The sequence below is a fragment of the Homo sapiens genome, chromosome 3 (genome assembly GCF_000001405.40).
Source record: "Homo sapiens chromosome 3, GRCh38.p14 Primary Assembly".
NCBI lineage: Eukaryota > Metazoa > Chordata > Mammalia > Primates > Hominidae > Homo > Homo sapiens.
Window position 1 is genome coordinate 134,921,505 of NC_000003.12, and position 21,261 is coordinate 134,942,765.

Here is a 21,261-nt window from a genome sequence, read left to right on the forward strand (position 1 = left end):
TTTCCTCAACTAAACCATGAATTTCTCTGAGGCACACATCAATTTATATGCATTGTTGTATCCCCAACATGTGTTATTCCCTTGGTCTTTACAACAATGCAAAGAAGAAAGCAGATGAAATATCATTAGATGTGTAACATAATTAGATTCTTAAAGATACTTTATCGATATCATATAGAATATACCATATCAGATTTTGACATAGCTAAAGAGACTAAAACTTGGAGTGATTTAAGTTATAGTAATAGCAATACCTCATGTTTCACAGTGTTTTATTTCACTCAGCCTCACCTTCTCCCCTCATAATCCTGCCTACTAGTTAGCTCTAGGCCCATCCTGCAGATGAGGAGCACAGGTGGAGAGAGAGATGGAGAGAGACAGAGGGAGGGCAGAGGGACGGGGGAGGTTGTATGACACGAGCAAGGTCATATCTCTTCTAGGTAGTGAAGATGGGACTTGGGACCTGGTCTGCCCACACCAGCACTCTCTCCACCATGCGTGTGCCCTTCCCGGCGATCTCCCCTTGGGCACTGAGTACGTGCTCCCAGAGGGTGGTGGGCATGGGTCCCAGAGTCGTGTCCTCTGCAGGAATCCCCAGATCTCACAGCACCACACGCACTTCCAGCTGGGTTGGTCCCCGTGCCACTGTCTGAGAGCAGAAGTGATGGTAAATATTTAATTGTGCTTCCACCATAACTTTCTGCCAGAACTCTCAATATGCTTTATAAATGCAAATGAGTGCGCTCTTCCTCTCCAGGGAGATGTAAACCTGCTCAAATCACTTTTATTCAGCCCCCACTAGAGTGTAATGCCATCATCAGGAGCTCTCTGTGCCAGAAAAGAAACTGCCCTTCATCATATGGAGTGGATGGTTTATGGTTTTGTGGTCTTCTGTCTCCACAATGGGCAGATGTAAAGAAATGGATTTCTCTTGCTGCAAATTCTGTCCAACAGAGTGTGTGGAAAACATTATTTAGAAGCAGATTTAATTACAGCACTAGAGCAGGTGATCATGACTAATATGAAGTCTTGGGCTGTATTTATGGGGTTAATAAAACAAATGAGTCCTTGGACGACAAAGAAGTAAGGTTGATTCTTTTATTTGATTCTGGACTCTGTTTTCCTCGCCACCATCCTCTGCCCGCTCCCTGCTCCTCCAACATGATCTTGCTGTTGGGGTGGGGGATGCATTATTCTGGGAGCTTTTGTGGCTTCTTGGCTTTATGAGTGAGGATCCCACTCCTGCCAGACCCCAGAGCTTCAGCAGAGCCCCTCAAAAGCCCAAGTCGGCCTTGTGGTCCATGTGCTGAGATTTGAGGCTGTTGGTGTCAGGGTGGGAAACTGTGTGACTTGAGAGAAAGCACTGCACCTTCCTGTACCCCGATTCCCAACTCCGCCACAAGGATTCAGTTGCCCCTGTTTCAGGCCCACCTGGCGGAGACATTTTAATAATCATGGAGATGAGTTTCTACAGAGCCTCATGGAGTGTCTTCTGAGAAGTGTATTATGTAAATTTGGTGTGTCATGATGATCATTATTAGTGCTGTGAAGTGGAGATGGGGGGAGGGAGGGAGAGCTGCTCTAAGCAGGGACCAGCCTCCCCAGCTGTCAGAAGAATTGGAGACGAAAACAAACTTAAGAAGCCTGCTCCAATGCTTATGTTCCTTCAAATATGCATGGGGCACGACTCAATCCGAACACAAACTCACATGGGTAGGAAAATGCAGCTTTCTTTATTTGCTTTTACTCCTGTTCATTCCCAGTTTGAGCCCCTGTTTCGCTGGGGTAGCAGAAGTGCTATCTGGGTTACAGGTAGGCCCATCATGTTAAGCTGTGGAGGAAGGCACTCCCTGGCTCTGTTGGCTCCTGTCCACACAGGCACCTGCTGAGATACCCTGTACCCCACCTGAACCCTGCTTATATCCCATGCAGGTCACCACTGGGTGCTCCCAGGTCCCCCTCATTAGACCCACTCAGGCCCTTTGGCCCCCCTGCGGTTCCTGAGTGCCATGTTAGTCTGGTGGGGCCATTGGCCACTCCCTCACCTCCCTAGGATGCTGAATATCCAAGCCCCTGTGTCCTGGACAGGCTCTCAGCATTTCTCTTGTGGAGTGGGTAGCTCTTTGGGATTGAGTGAGCAATGAGAGCATAGGAAGACCCTTTCTTCCACATAGCTCCCCATTTATCACTTCTGTTTTAATTCCCTTAGTCCTGCTCCTAGGATGGGTTTCTCCCCAAACCTTTGGTTTATGACAGGGTTCTTCTATTTCATAGTGGGCCCAAGATTTTGTGACTCTGCATTCACATCTCCTCCCTGACATGGTAAACAAGGAGTGGCTGTTCTCATGGTTATGGGAAGGGGAGGCAGTGGGAAGGACAAGGGGAGAAAAAAACCCAAACAATGCATCATTTATATTGTACCCTTCCCTGTTTGTTGAGTAGCTATGCAGCTGGGAGATGCTGTGTCTGTTCCCTTGATACATATCCTGGGAATGCAGGGGACTAGGACACCATCACCTGCCCATATAGCACCATTGTGTAAATTTTTAAAAGTGTCCCTCTGCAACAATTGGATATCCACATCAAGAAAAAAGCACATTGATCCAATACCTTCCACCTTATGCAGAAATTAACTTGAACCATAGACCTAGGTAGGAGAAAAAAATCTTTGTGACCTTGGGTTAGGCAAAGATTTTTCAGACACAGCACTAAACTGTAAAAGAAAACCAAATAATAAATTGGACTTCATCAAAATTAAAAACTTCTGATTTTTGAAAGACACTGTTATGAAAATGAAAACATAAGACACAGACTGGGAGAAAATATTTGCAAAGCATATATCTGAAAAAGGAGTTGTATTCAGAATATATAAAGACCTCTCAAACTCAATAATAAGAAAATAATCCATTTAAAAAGGAGAAAAAGATTTGAATAGACACTTCAAAGAAGATTTATGGATGACAAATAAGTATGTGACAAGATGTTTAACACCATTTGCCAGCAAGGAAATGAAAATTAGGACCATAATGATATATCACTACACACTGATTAAAATGGCTAAAGTTAAAAACAAATGACCATGCCAAGTGTCAATGAAAATATGGAGGAACTGGAACTCCCATAGACTCTCACAATAATAGCCCCAAACTGGAAACAACAGGTGAATGAATAAACAAATGGTGGCACATCACACAAAAGAGTATTACTCAGCAATAAAAAGAAATTAGCTATTGGTATACACAACAACATGAATAATTCTTAATATAATTATGCTGAGTGAGAGAAGCAAGATTTTTTAAAAATGGCATATACTATATGGTTCCATTTATACGAAATGTGAGAAAATGCCATTTATTCTACAGTGACAGAAAGCAGATGAGTCATTACCTGGGACAGGGACATGGTGGGTTAGGAGCAGGAGGAAGAAAAGGATTACAAAGGGACTAAATAAACTTTTGGGTATGATGAATATGTTTATTATGTTAATTTGTGGTGATGGTTTCACTGGTGTACATATATATCAAAATGTATCAAATCATACATTTTAAATATGTGCAGTTTATCCCTGACGGCTCCTAGGAGCTCACAGCAGCATCCAGGTGTCTGTCTTTCCTTTTCTGTGGCCAGAGGAAGGATGGTAACCAGCTGGCTGCTGTGGCCACCCTTGCCACTTCATCACCTGCATGGTAGGCTGCTGGGATGTGGGATGTGTGTTTGTGTTCTATGTGAAACCTTTGACAAAGCTATGTGAGCCCTTTGGAGTTGATGGGAAGTTACCCAAGGGTGTCAATATAGATGCCTGATGGGGAGGCAGAGGAGAATGTGTGGAGAGGAAGGAGGGCAGACAGATGAGGCCAGAGAAGCTGCATAATGGGGAGGAAGAAGGCAAAAAGAGGTGGCCTAGAAAGGCTTGAGGAAGGAATTAACTTTGGCTACTTGTTCAACACGGCCCTGGCAGAATCTCTGGGAAGAATAATCTGGGAAGAAGCTGGGTCTTGGCGGTAAAGTAGTGGGTGCACAGATGACTTCATCCTACACAGGAGCCTTGGGGTCACCGGGGAGAGAGCACTGGACTTAGCATCAGACGTGAAGTCTGTATCCAACTTTGCCATAAGCTGCATAATCTTGGCGGGCTTCTTTTGCTATCTGAGCCTTGGGCTTCACAGAGAGACCTGGGCTTGAAGATGCACAAACCTCCTTGTAGTACTGTCATTTACTATCACAAACAACTTCGTGACCTTGAGGGCCACTGTATAGCAATCCTTCTGACTCATTGTTTTTGTTTATTCGTTTTTTCTTTTTAATCTACAGAAACGTTAATGGACACCAGAACGGCTACTGCAGAGCTGGGCTGGACGGCCAATCCTGCGTCCGGGGTGAGTATCAAACCATTCGTCTTTCAGTCCTGCTATGAGGTCCTGGATCCATATGATATCTAGGGGAGTAGAGACTACCCAGAGCAGTACCTGTGGGGAATGGAATACAGGTGTGAATGGCTGTGTCCACTGCCCATCCATGCAAAGACAGCACCAGGGGTCTCAGACCTGAGCTGCTGCCTCGTGTGCTGATGTAGACCATCTCTTGACACAGTCCTTTCTGAAAGCTGACACCTAGACAACTAGGGCCATCGCTGTGTGGGGATGGGGGCACGCAGGCTAGTGGCACTGAGGCAGATCAGAGATCTGTGATGCCCAAAGGGCTGCAGCAAAGGCAAAGACATGAGGGAGGAGGTAGAGTTCAGAATGGCTAAGCTCTCTTTCACCTAGACCTTGCCTTGGAGAGACATTAATGATTTATTTGTCTAGTGTTCATGTAACTGGCCAGCTACAAAAATAGATTATCCTTGAGGAGCTCGTGGCCTCCTGTGGGAACCAGTGTGTGGCACTGGAGATCAACAGGTAGGTGTGGGCACAGAGTTGGGAATGAGAAACCATGAGGTTAGACAAGAAGCCTTTACAGACAAGGTGTGAGCAAGCTGGGTTTTAGAGCATGAGTAGGAGATTGACAGATGTTGTAAAGAGAGCCTGGAAAGACGTTCTAAGTAGGAGGAATGCCGGTTGAAAGGGATGATGAGATTATGAAAACACATAAGAGGGAAGAGTCTGTGTGTATGGAAGAGAGCATGGTGTGAATGCTGCTGAGATGGGGCTGGAGGGTAAGTTGGAACCTGGAAGGGTGGCGATGGACTGTGACTGCCATGCTGAGCAGGGAACTTGGATTTTATCCTATAGGAAATGGAGAGATCCTGAGCAGGAGAAGGAAATGGTCACACTTGTTGACAGGATTGTCGAGAACAGTTGAGAGAAAGGCATTTAAGAGGCTCTTTCAGCTGTCTTGGGTGTGACAAAAGAATCAAGTTAAAATAGGATATGCAGAGGCTAGTTTGAGAGAAGTTAAGGAGGACAAATTGGCAATGGATGGACTATGGCAGGAATGAGAGAAAGAGAGAGGAGGTGGAGATGATGTTCATGTCCCTGGCTTGGGCAGTTGGCTAATTTCAGGGGTTAATCATGAAGGGAGAAGGCAAGAGGAGGTGGGAGTGCTCTCTTCATCCCAGCCAGTGGGTGATGTCTGGCTAGGACAGGGTGGCCCTGGGCCTCCTCCTCTGTCCCAGACCTTCTCTCTGCGTCCCATCCCTGTAACCTCTATGCCCCATGAAGGATCTCCAGCATAGCACATCATCACCATGCCCTGGTTCTGCTGCAGGGGTGGTTCTAATCGGGACATTTGGGTCACAGGGCAGACAGTTATCTCACCTGTGCATTCTCCACTGGTTTCTCACTGTTACTTTATCCCAGCATTTGAAGAACTGCACTGCTCGAGGCATAAGCATGATGCCTTGAAACAGGGAAGCAAGGTCCAAAATGAGCTGGCATTCCCTAAAGCAGGGAGCAGGGACAGGGGCAGAGCCAGACCACACTGAACAAGGCCAAGTCATGCCAGTAACACTGTGGGCAACCAGGAAAACCTTCCCACTTTTACTTGGGACTTTATGTAAAGCTGATGAGGCAGCAGTTCTTCCATATCACCTGGATATTAAGAATTTGCCATCTTTTACAAATTATGTTATTGTTTGAAGGCTTGTGTGTTTTTACAAGGCCCCAACATAATTTATGGTTAATTTTTCCCTTGGTTTTTGTACACAACACCTGTTTTCTTTATACTTCTGATATCCTTTCCCAAGGAAGATTCTCCTTGAGGGAAACATTCAAAGTCAAGGCATGCCCTTTAGAGACAGCAGCTGCCTGGGCTCTGCCTGTTTGCCCTCCCCACCTGCTACCAGCATGCTCAGCTGCCTTTCCCCAACACTCATTGTGAGGCAAGACACAGCCAGATCATTCTCCTGGTGCCTGGAGTAGCTTCTGAGTCTGTCTAGTTTACAGTGACGAGTGGGAGGGTCAACATGGCCTTTGGTCTGGGTGGAAAAGGAGGATCAAGGACTATGCTTCCATCCCAGGCCTGCTTGTCTGTTTCCTCTGTGCTCTTCCAGGACAGTACCCTCCAATTCTGTGAACACACCAGTGACTCCCAAGTTAGTATATCTGGCTCAGACTCACATGTCTAGCTGCCACCTCTTTCACTGGATGCTCATGGGCATATCGGTCTCAACATGGCCAAGCAGATCTCACCCCTTTTCCTTTCCCCACGCACACACGTGCATTCTCTGTCCAAATCTTAGCACATTTATAAAGGCCAGAAACTGATTCTTGACTTCTCCTTTTATTATCTTCAGATCTCTGCTCGTGTCCATCCTCAGGGATACGCTCTCTGCATCCCAGCCATGTTGGATACCCCATCACAGGTCTTCTCAGTGCCAGGGAGCTTTACCAATAGCACAATACACAGTCCCAAAGTTTATACCTCTCTGTGTTAGAATTGGATTCATTTCTAGCCCCCCTTCAGCCATATTATAACCTCCGGGGTGGCCAGGACTCTATGCATTTGTTCATCATTGGCAGCTTACACCTAGTTCACTACCTGACTCAATGTTTCACTATTGAAAGTTTCTGACTTGAGCAAGTGGGTGGATGATGGTGCCATCCTTGGAGTCAGAGGACACAGGAGGAGGAGTATGCTTGGGTGGGAAGAGGATGAGTCAATCTGGGACCTGTCAAGCTTGAAGCGTCTCTGAGGCACCCACGGGAAGGTGTGCCATCAGTATTCGACTTAGGGGCAATGGAATCAGAAGGCGGCCGCATGTCAGTGAGATGGGAGCCTGGGGCATGGCTGCAGTTTCCCAGGGGAGTGTCCAGAGAGGAAAGAGGTGAGAGCTTTGGATGGATAACCTGCACTGAAGTGCCAAATAGAACCTGACCAGGAGACTGGGAAAGAGTGGGCTGGGAGCAGGAGAAAACCAAGAGGAGGTCCAGTTTTAGAAGCCAGGGGAAGAGTGTGTCAGGGAGGAGGGCACAAAAGTGGCAAATGCTTCTGCGTGTTAAACATTTCCACTGGGTTTAGCTGCAAGAACCCTATGGTTAAGTATACAGATGGTTTCAGAGGGGCCCAGCACAGGAAGCCAGAAAGCAGAGAGGTGAAGAGTCAGTAGGAGGTGGGCAGTAGAGACAGCAGTTGGTAAGAGAAGGAGGACAGAGCTTGGTAGACGGAGGGAACAAGGGGCTGTGGGCACATTTGCCTTTCCCGGGGAAATGGCTCCTTTCCTGTTGAAATAGCAAGACAGAGATAAAGGCACCTACAGAGAGCTGAGAGTGCTCAGTTTTGACGTGACAGAGCCATGAAATAGAAAAATTCCTCTCAGCTGCATATCTTCTCTATGAGGTTGGAAGTGAGGTTTGGAGGGTGAGGCATGTGGAGTCCAGGTAGCAGGTGTTGAGAGGGCACAAAAGGAACTGCTACTGAGAGCTGCAGAGAGGCTGGGCATATTTCAGAGGAATATGGCAAGGAGTAAGAGCTGAATTGTGGCTGACAACTGTGCACGGGTGAGGATCCTGATCTACAGGCCTCCTTCAGCTGCCTGACTGCCTGGAAGAGCTGTGGCATTGGGATCATCCAGAGTTCTGGTTGCACAGGAAAAAATGGCAGGACTGAAGGGGCCAGGGGCTGAGGATGCTGGCACCTTATTTCATGACATATACCCCACAGGAAAGAGTGAGGCGAGGAGGGACTGGTGTGACCAGCCCAGGGGCCCCAGATGTAGGTCTCAGTGAGGCTAAAGAACAGATGTGATGGCATGGCTGGGACTGGAGGAAGACCTGGCACCTTGACTTCAGATTTAAGACACACAGAGGTCTTCCGGGTGAAGAGGCTCTGAGTGGTTCATGGTGTGAGCTGCTGGAGCAGAGGAGGATGAACTTCATGGCACTGAGGAGCTCAGGTGTTTGAGAAGCCAGGAGGCTTGGGAGAGCAGGGGTCCTCCTTTTTCTGAGACCTAGTATGGAGAAGATTTTGGAGAGAGAGATGGACTGTCAGCCCAAAAAGGAGGGAAAGTCCTCAGATTGTTTCTCTGCAGTCAGGATACCATGCATGGATGTTTAAGGCAGAGATTGTTCTGGAGGCCTCAAAGGAACTGGGTTTGCCCCATCCAGAGGAGGCACACAGTGCTGCCAGGGGCCCAGCTGGCATTGCAATGGGCCCCATCCACAGTGCATAGCCTGTGTGGCAGGCTTTCAGACCCAGAGAGAGGCCAAGGGACTCTTCCTTTTATGGGGCTAAGTGTGTGCCTTTGATGCTGTACTTGAGAACTACCAGATATAGGAAGGGGTTGGACCACTCACCTACACAAAGCCCACAAATCATTCTCAGTTTTATTGTTGAAAAGCAATATTACGTGTCAAAACCAGAAAGTACGCCCAGATTAAAAATGCTGCTTTATAATCTATTGCAGCACCCTGCCTTTCATTGAAGGCCTTTAGGTTTAATCTAAATCAGGGGCTACCTGGTGAACAGAGGAAAAAGGTAACAAACACATTTACAAAGTAACAAATGCCAGGGAGAGGCTGAGCTCCCACTAACGGGCTATCCCAGGGACCCTCACCACAGGCCCTGGTGACCCTTTCTTTGGGCTGGCTTCTAGCCCTGGCCTGAAAGACTCCCTAACCTTTACATTTCTGGACCTCTAGGCAGTGGGGAGTTCAGAGAGGTCCTGTGGATAAACAGTCAGCGCTGTGCCCAACCATGGGCAGTGCTCTGTAAGTAGCAGTCTTTCTGGTTGCACCTCCAGGTCTGCTCCAGTTCCTAGATGCTCCCTGGCCTCCCTACTCTGTTCCTTCTTCCCGACACTCTGTCTCTCAGGTGTCAGTTTTGTTCTCAGCCCCACTGGGACGCTCCTGGATGCTCCTCCCACCATGGCTGGGGTGGGTGCCCCATTTTTTTAAGCCTGTGGGGCTTTGTACCAACCTCTAACATACTGTCCTTCACTCTGTAAGTTAAATAACTGTTGATGTGTCAGTCTCTTGCACTGGTCAGAGAATGAGCCAGCTCCCTCTTTGTGTCCCTGGTGCCCAGCACCAGCCTGGCATAGGACAGGATCAGATTAATGTTTTGTTGACTGAGTAAATGAATAACGATCATTCTTGATACCTGTCTGCATCTCCATCACAGGCCCCTGAACTTAGGAGACACTTAATTTAGGTTTACTGTAACCCAAATGCACTGTAACATGTTTGTTGTAGACCTCTTAACACCCAATTGGTTGTCAATATCTTTTTAAAGAGCATAATTAGTGATGCACATGGAGCCACTTCTCCTGAGATAAGCATAATAAAGGGGACCAGGACAGGCAGAAGAAAGTCCCTGTTGCTTTCAGCCCCTGGCTGTGATGGATTAGAAAGGCAAACCTAGTCCCTCTGATCAAGAGGCTTATTTAACTTGCTTGTTGGAAATCTCAGTCCACAGTTCTTTTACTTTTGAAGTGGTTGGCCAGGGCTCATGGCCATTTGTACTTGGGCCACCATTGGCCTCTGTGTGTGTAAGTTTCTGTGTTTGTGAGATGTGTGGCTTATGTGTAAACATCTACCTGAGTTCTTACTTTCAAAAAAGTGCTGCGAGGGCTTCCAGTCTCCTCCTCCTGTGCTGTCCTCTGGAACCACCTTCAGGGCCTGTGATACGCTCTGTTGACTACTGTAACACTGGCAGATCTTCACCATAGGAAAGGGGATGCGATAGAGGAAAAACAGGAAGGAAGTCCGAAGCCAAGCCTCATGAACCTTCAGGATGAGTGAGCTGGGCTCATGTGTACTCCGTGTGTATGTATGTGTGCATATATGTCTCTTTAGAAATATAAGTATGTGTGTGCATGTATATATGAGTGTATGTATATTTGTGTATGTACATATACATGTGTATATATGTCTGTATATATGTATATATGTGTGTCTATGTTTGTACATATGTATATATGTGCTATGTGTCTGTATATATGCATACATGTACATATGTATATAGTGTATATATGTATATGTGTGTATATGTGTATCTGTATATATGTGTATGAATATATATGAATGTATATATGTATGTGTATATATATGTGTGTGTCTGCACACATATGCTTGTATGTGTGTGTGTTTGTGTGTGTGTGTGTGTGTGTATGTATGAAGTTAAATTAGCTGATCTCACCCTGTGCTTCAGTAAGCAGTTCTAGAGTTCTGGAAACACTTTCAATAACGGGAGGATTATTAGACTGAATGGAGAGCTTCCAGAGCAGGCTTCTGTGAAGGGAACAACACGTATCTGAATGTCCATGTTTGGTAAACTAACTCCTGATACGAGCTACATGCCCATGAGTGCCGGTGCGCAGGCTGAATGCACAGCTGCTGCTTGGTTGTTTATGTGTGCGCTGTCTAGGCCACTTGGCAGCCCCTGGCTGTCTCCTCAGTCCCTGTCAGATCCCCCACCAGCTGCCCACCTCAAGTGACTCAGGAAAGCACACTCAGGAGAGAAACCCACTCTAATAACACCTCATCCATTCCAAAGCCGAACAAAATCAATTACGATTTATCTGGTCTGATGGGTAAGACCTTTATGGAGAAGCAGTTAAGGCCTCAGGTCCTGGCATCAAATAAACTGGCTATTTTTCTGGATCTGCACTCCCTGCCTGTGTGATCTTGGGTCTGTTATTTAGACTTCTTCAGTCTCAGTTTTCATTTCTGCTCAATGGGGTAAGGATAATAACTCTGTCATATATGAAACAATATCAGTAAAAAGTTTTCCTTGGTAAACACTTAGGAAATGTTAGCACATCACTAACCCTCTGGAGGGCTGAATTTTCTGTTTTCTCCCTTTAATGATTCAATCATGCTTATTAAGACAGAAAAGCCTGAGCTAGATTAGAAAAATCCAAGAGAAATTTAGCTCTGGGCAAAATGGTTTTGTGAATGGAATTTCACCACATTTGAATTTCAGGACATGCCAGAGGCAGGAGGGCAGAAGAAGGTGGGGTTGGCCATGATTTCTCAGACAGGCACCACTGAATGGGGACTTGGGAGCTTTGGACCTGATCGCGGATTGCTGGAAGCTATTCTCATTCTATGCTTTAGTATCTGTCATGACTTTTTGGTGGCCAGTGACAGAAAAGCAAAACCCACTCTTGAAGGATAGCTTGGCTCATGAAACTGAATGGTCCAGGGGCTGGTGTGGCTTCAAGTTTGGGTGGTTATCAATCGATCCCTCCTCCCCACTCTCTTGTTTTATCTCTTTTCTCTCTGTCTTCCCATCCTTTTTTCTCCTCTCTCTACTCCCACAGTGTAGGTTTCATGCTGGAGTTCTTCTTGGTCCTAAGACGTCTGTCTGCAGCAGCCCCAGCCCCTATAGCCTTTTTCATCTGTATGCCCTGGAGAAGATCAGACATCTCCTCCTGGGTCCCCCAGTAAAAGCCCTGGAATTAGCTCTGAGTGGGCCTGGCTGGCTTGGCTTGAATCCCTCTCATGCTCACTCTGGACCATCCCCTGGGGAGGAAATTGACACTGAGGTACCGTGTCCATTCCTGTGTTGTGGAGAGCCTACTGGAAGGCCAGGGAGAAAGGCAGGAGAGAGTAACAGAGGGAATCAGGATATAGGGAACGGAAAGATGACTAGATGCTAGGTAGGAAAAAAAAAATCTATCACTGTATGACAGACCCTAAGTGCCTTATAGCCAGGCACACATGAATCCTCACAGTAGCCCCATTTTACAGATGAGGAAACTAAAGCACGGAGCAGCTGGTAAATTGCCTAAGGTCTCATGGTGAAAAAGTGCCAATGCTGACCTTTAACCTCCTGGATGCTGGCTCTCTTGCCAACAATTATGCTCCACTGTCTTCCCCAGTGAAATGCTACCCATCGTGGTATCTTCAGAGAGTGGGTTCCAGAAGGAACTCCCAGACCAAGCCTCCTTGAATTCAGGCTCAGTCTGCAAAAGGTTTTCTTTTTTCTCACGGTAAGAGACATGGGTGGTGTCCTTTCTCTGAGCTGTTTCCTAGGAATTAGTACCACTTTCTCAACCGAGAGGCCCAGCCTCCCTGCTGTTGGGCCTCTGACCTCCCTGTTCCCTCCCTCATACCCTCCCCTCCTATTCCCTCTTCAGGTAAACCACTGAGATAAGTCAGAGCTCCCCACCCTAGGCCTCCCACCCACTCTTTATCTTTTTCTCTCTCTACCAAAAGGCCTGTAATTAGGAAACATTAGCAGGCTCAAAACAGCTTTCATACCTGAAACATCCTCCATAATTGCACTCAGCAGAGCTCTTCCCTGGCTATTAATGTCACTTCTATGAAGCAATGAGGAACAAAACACCCGAGGCACTTAAAACATTTTTTATATAATACGCGTCTTTTAGGAATGGAAGTTTAAAATCACCTGCCTGACAGAGACAGTGATAGACAAAGGCTTGAGGGCCTTGGGTGAGAGCCAGGAAGCAGGCCCTCCTCCAAGTGATGGAAGGCAGTGGCCACGAGATTCAGATGCTGCTCTGGGAAGAGACTCCAGGGCCGTGCGTGGGTGGACCTACCTCAATGGATCCCCAGGGGAGGAGAATTGGGCCAGATGAGCAGCAAGGCCACTGCTCTGCCTGGCTCCATTGCTTGTGGTTGCCTTCATGGTGCTTTCCTATGAGACTGTTTTTATGGGCATGTGTATGCATTTAACAGAAAGGTGAATAGAATGCCACAGATGACCCGTGTTGTGCAGTAGAATGTCAATCATTACACTGATTGCAGAAATATATTGGATATGACTTTGTGTGTGTGCGGTATGGGTGGGGGAGGGGAGTGGGAGAGAGAAAGAGAGAGAGAGAGAAGCTTTCCTAGCTTGCTGTATTAAACAACTTTGGGAGTTGTGGTGGTTCACCAGATCCTTACTGTCTGGCATATTTATTTTCTTGCTCTTGGAAATGGCTCATAGACTCATTCATCAACAGAGCAGAGACATTTCTGTCCACAGACTCTGGGAGGGAATTCCAGAGGTTACCTAAGCCCACCTTCTCCCTATTGGAGGAATGCTTAACCCTTGTTGGCCCAGACAGGTGTAGTTCCATGTCTCTAAAACCTTCCCCAAGAGGACAGTAGCCCCACTACACCCCTTGTCCCAGTCTTGGAAACCTTTATGCAACTGGCATGTGAGCCTGAGGACTGACTCATTGATGACAGCACTTATCAAATTGAAGGACAAGTGGCTCTCCAGGGCAGGAGAGGACACAGGGCTCCTGACAAAGGCACTGGGATGGAGCTGAGGAGGGTCAGCATTGCCCTGACAGCCTGAACTCACAGCACTCCCACTGGTGACCTTGGTGAAGGAAAGAAACATATTATTGGCAAAGACAAAGCATTAGAAGGAGAGTGAGGATAAGACGAACAGGAGGAAAACAGGCGAAGAAGGGAGGGTCAGGGTTGTCAGAAGAAAGATGAGCCTGGTTCCAGGAAGGAGGAACTGAGCCTCTGGGATGTTGGCTTTGGCCTTACTTCCAGTTATGGGCAAAAGCTATAGAATAAGTTGGCCAAAATCCCACTATACTTTCAATAGTATGAAGGATCATGCCCAGGATTTGGGATCTGATGTCCTGGGCTTATTTCCATTTTCTGCTAAGTTCTTTAGCCTCTTTAAGTCCATATGCTGCCTTTATAACATAGGTAATATAAGATCTTATATATAGAGTGATTGGGATTACATTGTGTTTACCTTTGTAAACTGTAAGACTCAGTGCAGTACCACTTGCCCTGATTAGTACTAGTGGTAACAACGACTCTTGTTCGAAAGACCTAACTTGTATGGGATGAGGGTGGCAACTGATGAAGGAGGGCCCCTGGAGACACAAGATCAACATGATAGGTTGTGATTCTTACATGAACAATGTCAGAGAGCACACCCTGTTATTAATAGCAGTGCTATTATTAATAATGATAACTATTACACTAATCATCACGATTAATTACATACCAACTGTGTGCCAGGCATCAAGCTTTACTTGTATGACCTCACTTCTCACTGGGACCCTGCAAGGAAGGAAGGTGGCATCTCTCCCATTTCCAAAGTTCCATTTCCAAAGAGCTATTATCCAAAGTTCCAGGACTAGGTGGGGGTGCCGCTGAGACTGACCCCAGGCTTGTCTAACCACAAAGCTCGCTTTTGTATCTTTGCCCCTGAAGGAGTGTGAGGAGAGGAACACAGACTCACAGACTGTTGAGAAACCAGAGAATGGAGCTGGGGTGGGGAGGAGTGGGAATGAGGAGGGGCAAATGTTCAAAAAGAAAAAGGGTAGCTTTTTAAAGTAACAAACCAGTGAGTTGTGCACGTGATAAGCACCTGATAAATCATTGTTTAAAGCAAGCTGTATGGGGGAGGTAGAGGAGGTGGTTTGGGGAAGTGTGGGGTTGGGGGACCAAAGAGCAGCAAGTCAAAGAGGAGCCTGGAGCAGGTGAGCCCTGGCCAGAGATCCTCAAGAGAATACAGGTGGTCCCTGTGTATGTCCGGCTCCGGGCAGTGATGGAGGAGCCCAAGAGGATTCCTTCCCACCCCCTAGGTCCTGACAAGTGTTCAGGAAGTGAAAATTGCTGGGAAGGGCAGGGAGAGCTGTGAGGGTTTCCAGGGAGCTCCTTTGTCCCATCCATTGTCCTCAGTGTCAGTGGGGCTGAACGCGCCCCCCCCTCCATTTGAGATGCTGCTCTGACAATAGAATGAGGCTGGGGTCCCATCGTGGCACATCCTTATCTCCATGCATGCTTGCATGCTGTCCCACTTGTTGCTCTTTCTGGTGGAGACAGGCATGTCCAATACATTTCCCAGTGTCACGAAGGACAGCCTACATGACAAATGTAGGAGTCAAGATTCTGACTTATCTGCTGATCAAGAGCTTTGCCTTTAAACAAATGTGGCAAATGTTAATGGTCTGTGTTTGCCTTTAGGTGCAAACAGTTCATTATGTAACAAGGCAGGGGTAGGCAGTGCTTCAAGTGATGGGGACCTGTGTATGACTGGCCATATCTTCACGGGGCTGACCGTGGGATGCAAATGCAGGGAAGGCCAGACTGATGTCTGCCATTTGGAGCAGTCCTGGTGCCAGTTGAAGGTAATGGTAGCCCCACTGTGTGCATTGCTGGCCTGAGCATAGCTGTCATAAGAGGCTTAATGTGGGAGCTGAATTTTAAAGGGGACATTGGAAAAATTAGAGTGTGTCTATTGGGGTTAACCAGGGACCTTGTCATTCAAAGAATATTCTTGCACCTGGGAAGCCAAGTCCAGGAGGCAAAGGAATGGAATACTTTTTCTCAATGGAGGCAGAGTTTTCTGCAGGGCTTCCTAGGACCAAGCTCCAGCATCCAAAGTCCCAGGAAAAAGCAGTCCCTGAAGTGGATCACACATGGTGGCCACATTCCCACCCAATTGGGAGAACACACAGAATGTGGTGGGGGTGTCCTCTCTTGAGGCCAGATGTGGCTTTTTTTCACCCAGAGACTGGGAATTTCCTCCATTGTAAGAATGGGAACGAAGCCAAGAGCTCCTGCCAGAGGCCCCACCCCTTCCTTCTCCCATGGCTGGCTCTCTTGTTTCCAAGACAGCTTTGGCTGGCCCCAGCCAGCATGGCTTACGCTCAGTCAAAACTTCCCAAGCTCATGGAATGAGGAGCCCATTTCCTTAGCCTGTAACCCAGCATGATGGGCCAGCTTGAGGCTGGCCTCTGCTATACATTCTGAGCAGAAATCCCGCCAAGCTGAAGGGAAATGCCATCAGTCTCTCCCAGGGGTGACTCTCTGCTCCTCTGTCAATGGAGTCCAGGCCTGGGCTTAGCAGTATCAAGCAGCTGGGGCCTGGGGCCTGCAGCTCCCACCCCTGCCTTGTTCTACAAGGCCGTGTTGGGCAGCAGTGAGAGCCACATTCAATCGACAGCTTAAGATAATCACATGTGTGAGGCACTGCAATAATGGCAGCTGAATACCCTGCCGCCGTTGCCATAGTGACCAGCCAAGCACTGGTTCCCTCCTTTTTTTTTTTTTTTTTTTTCCTCCTTTCTTGTTTTCTGGACCTCCTTGTTATAGGGCTGGCTGGTGGGGTGGGCGATGAGTTGGGGAAATGGGAAAGGAGGAAAGGGGGAGGAGAGACCCAGGAGGGGCAGCCCATTATACCCTCTTTAAATACCCCAGCTGGAGGTGTTTTAAATCTCAACAGAGACAGAGAGAAACAGTGTCTTAATCCCTAACTCCCTGTGAATTATTTAAAGAGATCTTGTCAGAAGGATGAATTTGTCACTGTTGCAGTGTCAACAGCAGCAGCAGCTGTCATAATGGCTGAGGACCCCACTCCAGGCAGGGCCTGGTACGCAATGCTGCTGCCTGGTGGAGGTTACAGTGCCCCAGGGGTGTATAGATAGGGAGCCCCCTGCCCAGACCCAAGCCTGCAGTATTTTCCCTAACATGCTGGTAGAAACCTGGGTGTGAAATATGCCGGAGTATAAAGAGGTGTGTGCCCTTCAGAGCTCGTGCCCTGCTGGCCTTGCCCTCTAGTAGTGTGGCTGGACCTGAGCTAACCAGCGCTCACAGGGCCTTCCGATGGTAGGCATACCCAAGGGAGGGCCATGGCCAACACCTCAGCTGCCTGCACTTACACACACACGCCCAAGCACGCATATATCAATGATAGATGCACAGGTGCTGACAGACAGACAGAAGAGTCATAGAGCATACACATCATGGAGGGAGAGTGGAATTCCAAGAAAAAAATAACTGATGTGCACTCAGAGAGAGGCTAAGTGTGTGTCCCCAGAGGGTAGCTATTCATGATAACTGGCTCACAAGGGGCTCTTACTGGGGTTTAATTACCTTGCAAGCTTAAGTCATGTTTAATCCTCACAATTGCCTCACGAGATAGGTACTATTAGGTACTATCCCTGTATTGCAGAGGAGGAAGTCGAGGCTCAGAGAAGTTTAAAGACTTGCCCATGGTCACACAGCTGGGTCTGGCGGACTCCAGAGCCTATGAACTTACCCCGGGCTAAGCTGGGGATCCGCATGATTATGGGTTGGGCAAGGTTAGAGCAGTGCTGTTCTTAAACCCCCACCCCTTTTTTGATCATCACAAAAACCTCCTTCCTAGCAATCTGAATATACTCTGCTTGAAGCCACTTTCTCCACCTTGACCTTGTTACAGTATTATCTGCATTTCTCTACCATCCAAGATTTTGTGGAGCTCTGCTCTTAAATATTGCATTGGGAAACAATATGTATATGTTTGTGATATTCCAGTTATGTCCCTCACCCCCATCCCCTTGCTGTGATGCATTTCCAGGAAGGCATCTTTGCTGTGAGTTCACAGTTTAGGGAATTCATTGCTTTGTACTGCTACAATATGGAAGCCCTTCCAAGGCACTGGGCTTTCAGAAGCAGTCTCCAACCCTGAGTCGGTCACCTTTCTCAAATGGAATACCACATCAGGCCATGGTAATGAATGGGGGGTGGGGGGGTGGCATTCCTGTCCTCTCAGCCCAGCACATCTGGGACGTAAATCAAGCATATTGGAAGGTAAGCTGGTGCTCACAGCCCTCAGGGGAGCCTTTGAGTAAATCCCTGCCTTGGTTGGTTGGTGTAGTAAATGGTAGATCCCTCTGGGCTTGTAGGAATTTATGCCCCACGGACTGCATTTTACATTTTAATTAGCCCTCTAGCTTGTCTAATATCCAAGCTTTTTCAGGCTTAGTCTACTGTCTACACGGGAGCTTTGTCCTTGGGGTCCAGGCTGATTGGTGGGGAAGGCTTGGTAGTGGTGGCTCCAGCCCAGCCCTGAGCATCTGCTGCCCTGAAGAATCTTTGGCCTCCTGTGGGCTCTGTGAAGTTGTGTGCTGCCCAGGCTCCAGTGGGCTTCTTGTTCACAGGGGCAGCCATCTCCCCGGATTGGGCAATGCCAAGAAAGCTCCATTATGGTCCCACAGGACATGGTGGCAGCAACTGTTTGCAAAATAGCAGCCTCCCTCAACAGCAGTTTGTGCCCAAAAACAGACTGCTGAATGGGACCAGAGCCTGTAAGATGTGTCCAATTTTGTCTCCTTGTGGTCTGAGCTGGTGGCTGACAGTGGTCCAGGGATTGCTGGCTCAAGAGAAGAGAGCCTATGATGAAACAGCTCAGAGGAAGCCCTGGAGATTCCCAGAGGGAAAGGGAAGGGGACTGCTGGTTGTTTCTCTGTGTCTGTAAGGAGAGGGAGTTTAGCCTTTTAGTTCCTGCATTCTGCTGACCAAAGGGTAGGATTATTTATATAGGATCTAGATGATTTCCACACCCTGGTGACTCAGCTGGAGGTGGATCCTGAGGTTAACATAATCACGATGATGATGATCATAATAATAATGTTAATAATTGGTACTCAGTGAATGGTAGTTATGTGCAGGCACAGCACTAGATGAGCTCCTTCCACATCCATGATCTTTCAGTCTTCGTATTACCCTGCAAAGTAAATAGTATTTTGCGAGTGAGGAAACTGAAGCTCAGAAAGTTGTCTGTGATCACAGAGCTGTAACTGGCAGAGGTGGGGTCTGCCTGCCCTGGCAACCTCTCCAGCTTCATATCTTTCAGTGTTTCTCTTGCTGTTTAAACTTCTGTAGCCACACTGGCATCTTGGCTTTCTCAGCAATGGGCCAGGCACCTTCTTGCCCTGGGGAACTTGTTCTGGTTGCCCTCTGTGCCTGGGATGCTCCTCCTTCGTGTACCCTCCAGGCTAGCTCCTGTGTTTCATTCAGATCTCAGCTCAAAGGGAGATCTTCCCTGATTACCCCACTGCCAGCTGTCACTCTATTTCCTTTCCTGCTTCTTAGTAGTTGTTAATGCTACCTGACTTTATATTATTCATTTGTTTGTTTGTTCATGCTTTGGTTAACTCTAGTGGAATATAAGGTCCATGCGGACAGGGATTTTGTCTCTCATTTACTGCTGTTTCACCAACTCCTAGAATGTTGCTTGGGGCTGCTGTAGTAGATGTTTGACTCTTTATTAAATAAATGAGATAAATGAGCTGGGTTTGAAACAAATCAGAATAGCTGGGATCGTATTAGGTCAACAGAGGCCAAAAAGCCTATTTCAATTATTTCTATTCCTGTCTTAAATAAAGGTGTCCAGAGGAAGTGCCCCTTTCCAGCCAGGCCCTGTAGAAATGGTTTATTCATGGAGGTTATAATGATGCAGCATCATGATAGTCATTGGGCATTCTTAGAGGAGCGGGCCTGGTGTGGGGTGGGGGACATTGCATCAGTCCAGGGAGGGGCCAACTATCAAACATCTTTCCAGAATTCTGTGCTTGGAATTGTCTTCAGAGGCACAGAGTGGAATCAGCTCAAATCTCTCACCTTCATTTTATAGTGGCTCTTCATTTTGACCAGTAATATTATTTCTTAGTTTGCTCAACCATCTCACTAATCAGACTTGGTTCCAAATGATCTTTGCCTGTGTGGGGTGGGGGACATTGCATCAGTCCAGGGAGGGGCCAACTATCAAACATCTTTCCAGAATTCTGTGCTTGGAACTGTCTTTAGAGGCACAGAGTGGAATCAGCTCAAATCTCTCACCTTCATTTTATAGTGGCTCTTCATTTTGACCAGTAATATTATTTCTTAGTTTGCTCATCCATCTCACTAATCAGACTTGGTTCCAAATGACTTTTGCCTGTTTCTGAAATTCAAATCCACTCTTGGGGCATAAAGAATGTGTCAGAGTTTCTGAAGGTTTTTCTAGAAGGTAGTGTAGATGGACCAATGAGTAGAGCCCATGACAATGATTTTGAAAGGGGAACAGTTTTTACAGATAAATGAGTTTTGATAGCATGCTTTACATATGCACACAGACACACACACACACACACACACACACACACACACACACACACACACAATCAGCCAGACTGCAGAGAGTCAATATGCACTGTCCAAATGTCAACAGGCACTCTAGCAATAGAACTGCAAGCTCTGACTTCCAATAAGCAAGCCTAACAAACCTAGATCTTGGAGAGACCTGAAAGTGTCTTTCTCATACATCAAAGTCATGATCTGAAAGCCTGAACAAGTACTTTCTAATGGATGTCACTGTTTCCTTTATTATGCTTATCTCAAGGACAGGTGATCCATTTGTGTCAAAATAGTGCTCTTTCAAAGGCAGTTAATAATCTGTTGGTTGTGCAAGGTTGATTTGTTTCTTCTTTCACAAAGACAGGTTAGCCTGGTGGCACCTGCAGTAAAGAAGGGAGAGAAGTTAAAGAATAGGCCGGGGCTCTGCTCATTGCCTCAGTCTTCCAGGATATTTTGAGGGCTTGGCACTGGGAATATGGAGCAATACCCAACACAGTCCCAGCCTGTAGGATTGGGTTCATATGGGAGATGGATTTGTATTTTAGAAAACTCATACGAGCAGGGGAATTAAGGAGAATGACTGGGAGAGTTACTTGGAGGGTAAAGAGAATTCAATGACGAAACAGAAGGGGAGGGCTGAATAGAAGAGCTATGGAGATAGGAGACATAGAATTTGGGGGTTAACCTCCTATGATGAGGAGCAAAACAAAACAAAATGGAGAGGGCAGAGTCTAGAGTGCTTCCTAGTCATCTGGTACTGGGTGGTTGAGGTGTCATTCTCAGACAGAGGTGAGACTGCATCAGGGCTGCAAAGGGCAAGGTGGTGCATCCCGGTTATTTATCAGGAGGCATCCAGCAGGCAGCAGAATATACAAGTCTGGGGTATTGGGGAGAGGTCAAGTTGGTGATGCACTCCATGGTGGTCGAAGCCTTGTATATGGATGAGATCACCTAGGATAAAAAGTGAGATGAAAATGGAGTGGATTTCACTGGTCCCAGATGTTACTGAATA

At 47.1% G+C, this 21,261-nt stretch overlaps 1 protein-coding gene across 1 annotated transcript in view, besides 1 other annotated feature; it reads left to right on the forward strand.

Annotated features, from left to right (window-relative positions):
* EPHB1 (EPH receptor B1) overlaps positions 1 to 21,261 on the forward strand; it is a 465,208-nt gene that overhangs the window by 126,245 nt on the left and 317,702 nt on the right. Inside the window, exon 2 of the mRNA NM_004441.5 lies at positions 4,312 to 4,376. Coding sequence (NP_004432.1) covers positions 4,312 to 4,376 — 65 coding nt within the window. The remainder of the gene's footprint in view (positions 1 to 4,311; positions 4,377 to 21,261) is intronic.
* Positions 20,173 to 20,858: an enhancer, noted in NCBI's record as "OCT4-NANOG hESC enhancer chr3:134660519-134661204 (GRCh37/hg19 assembly coordinates)". NCBI's record gives its function as "activates a minimal SCP1, AML or CMV promoter by ChIP-STARR-seq in primed H9 embryonic stem cells {active_cell/tissue: H9 hESC(primed)}" and the evidence as "EXISTENCE:reporter gene assay evidence [ECO:0000049][PMID:30033119]".